Raw genomic sequence first — 1,444 nt, forward strand, 5'->3', positions numbered from 1 at the left:
TTTCTTCTACTAACTCTTGACACAATGAACCCACCATATCAGTCATCACGTAAATGTCCATAAACCTTGAAAAAGGATCTGATAGTTTGACTCTGTTGACATCTTAGACTCTTTTTGCTGCATTCTTTTCTTCCACATTTCTTTTCTTTTTCCCTTCCTCCTTTCTTCCTTCCTTTCTTCTGTTCATCATTTCTTCTTAGCTTATTTACACTAGTAATATGAAAATACTTTTTTTATGTAATCGGTATTACATAACTATATATAACTATATCTAATGTATATATATTATATATAGAGAGAGAGCACAAAACTTTATTTGCAATTCTCTTTTAGTTGTTTTCCTATTGTGATGATAGGTAACATTATACTTTCCACAGCACTGCTGCTGCTGCATGTGATTATTTCTGCTTTCTCAAAATGATGGAAACAAAATTTAAGTGAAATTACAAGCTTCTGAAAGTTGCACAGACATTGACCAGCCATAACTGCTTCAGAAGGAATATAACAGGGAAAATTGTCAATTACTGGACATTTTTTGAAAAGGCTTTTTTTTTTTTTTTCCCAAAGCCATCACAAGAGCTCCTATGTTGTCAGAGCAATATCACTTTTTTTATCTCATGGCATCACTTAGGGCTGGTTTGTTTGTTTCAACAGCTTTATTAAGTTATAATTGATTTCCAAAAACCTCATATATTTAATTTATATAATTTGATGAGCTTGAACATGGACATACACTCATTAAACCATCACAACAATGAAGGTAATAAAAGTCTTCATCACCTCCCCAAGTTTTCTCATATTTCTTGTTTGTGTGTACATATGTGTGCACGTGCACACATGTGTGGGAAGAACACAACATGAGAACTACCCTCTTAAGAACTGCTTTAAGTGTAAAATATAGTATCGTTTACTGTAGGCACTATGTTTTGGAGCAGATCTATAGAAGTTATTTAACTTGCATAACAAACATTATTGCCATTAAATAACAACTCCCTATCTTTCTTCTCCCCAGCCTCTGGCAACCACCATTCTACTCTCTGCTTCTATGAGTTTATTTTAGATTTCAAATATAAGTGAAAACAGAACCATGCAGTGTTTATCCTTCTGTGTGGATGACTTGTTTTACTTAGCATTATGCCCTCCAGGGTCACCCATGTTGTCATATATGGCAGAATTTCTTTTTTAATGCTGAATAATATTCCAATGTACATATATATTATGTTTTATTTTTCCATTCATCTGATGATAGACATTTAGGTTGTTTCTATATCTCAGCTATTGTAAATAATGCTGCAATTAACCTGGAAGTGAAGATATAACTTTAAGATACTGATTTCAGTAATTTTGGATATGTATCCAGAACTGGGATTGCTGTATCATATGGTTGTTTCATTATATTTGCTTTTTATGAAATTTCATATGATTTTTCATATCAAAAACATCA

The sequence above is a fragment of the Homo sapiens genome, chromosome X (assembly GCF_000001405.40).
Source record: "Homo sapiens chromosome X, GRCh38.p14 Primary Assembly".
NCBI classification, from domain to species: Eukaryota; Metazoa; Chordata; class Mammalia; order Primates; family Hominidae; genus Homo; species Homo sapiens.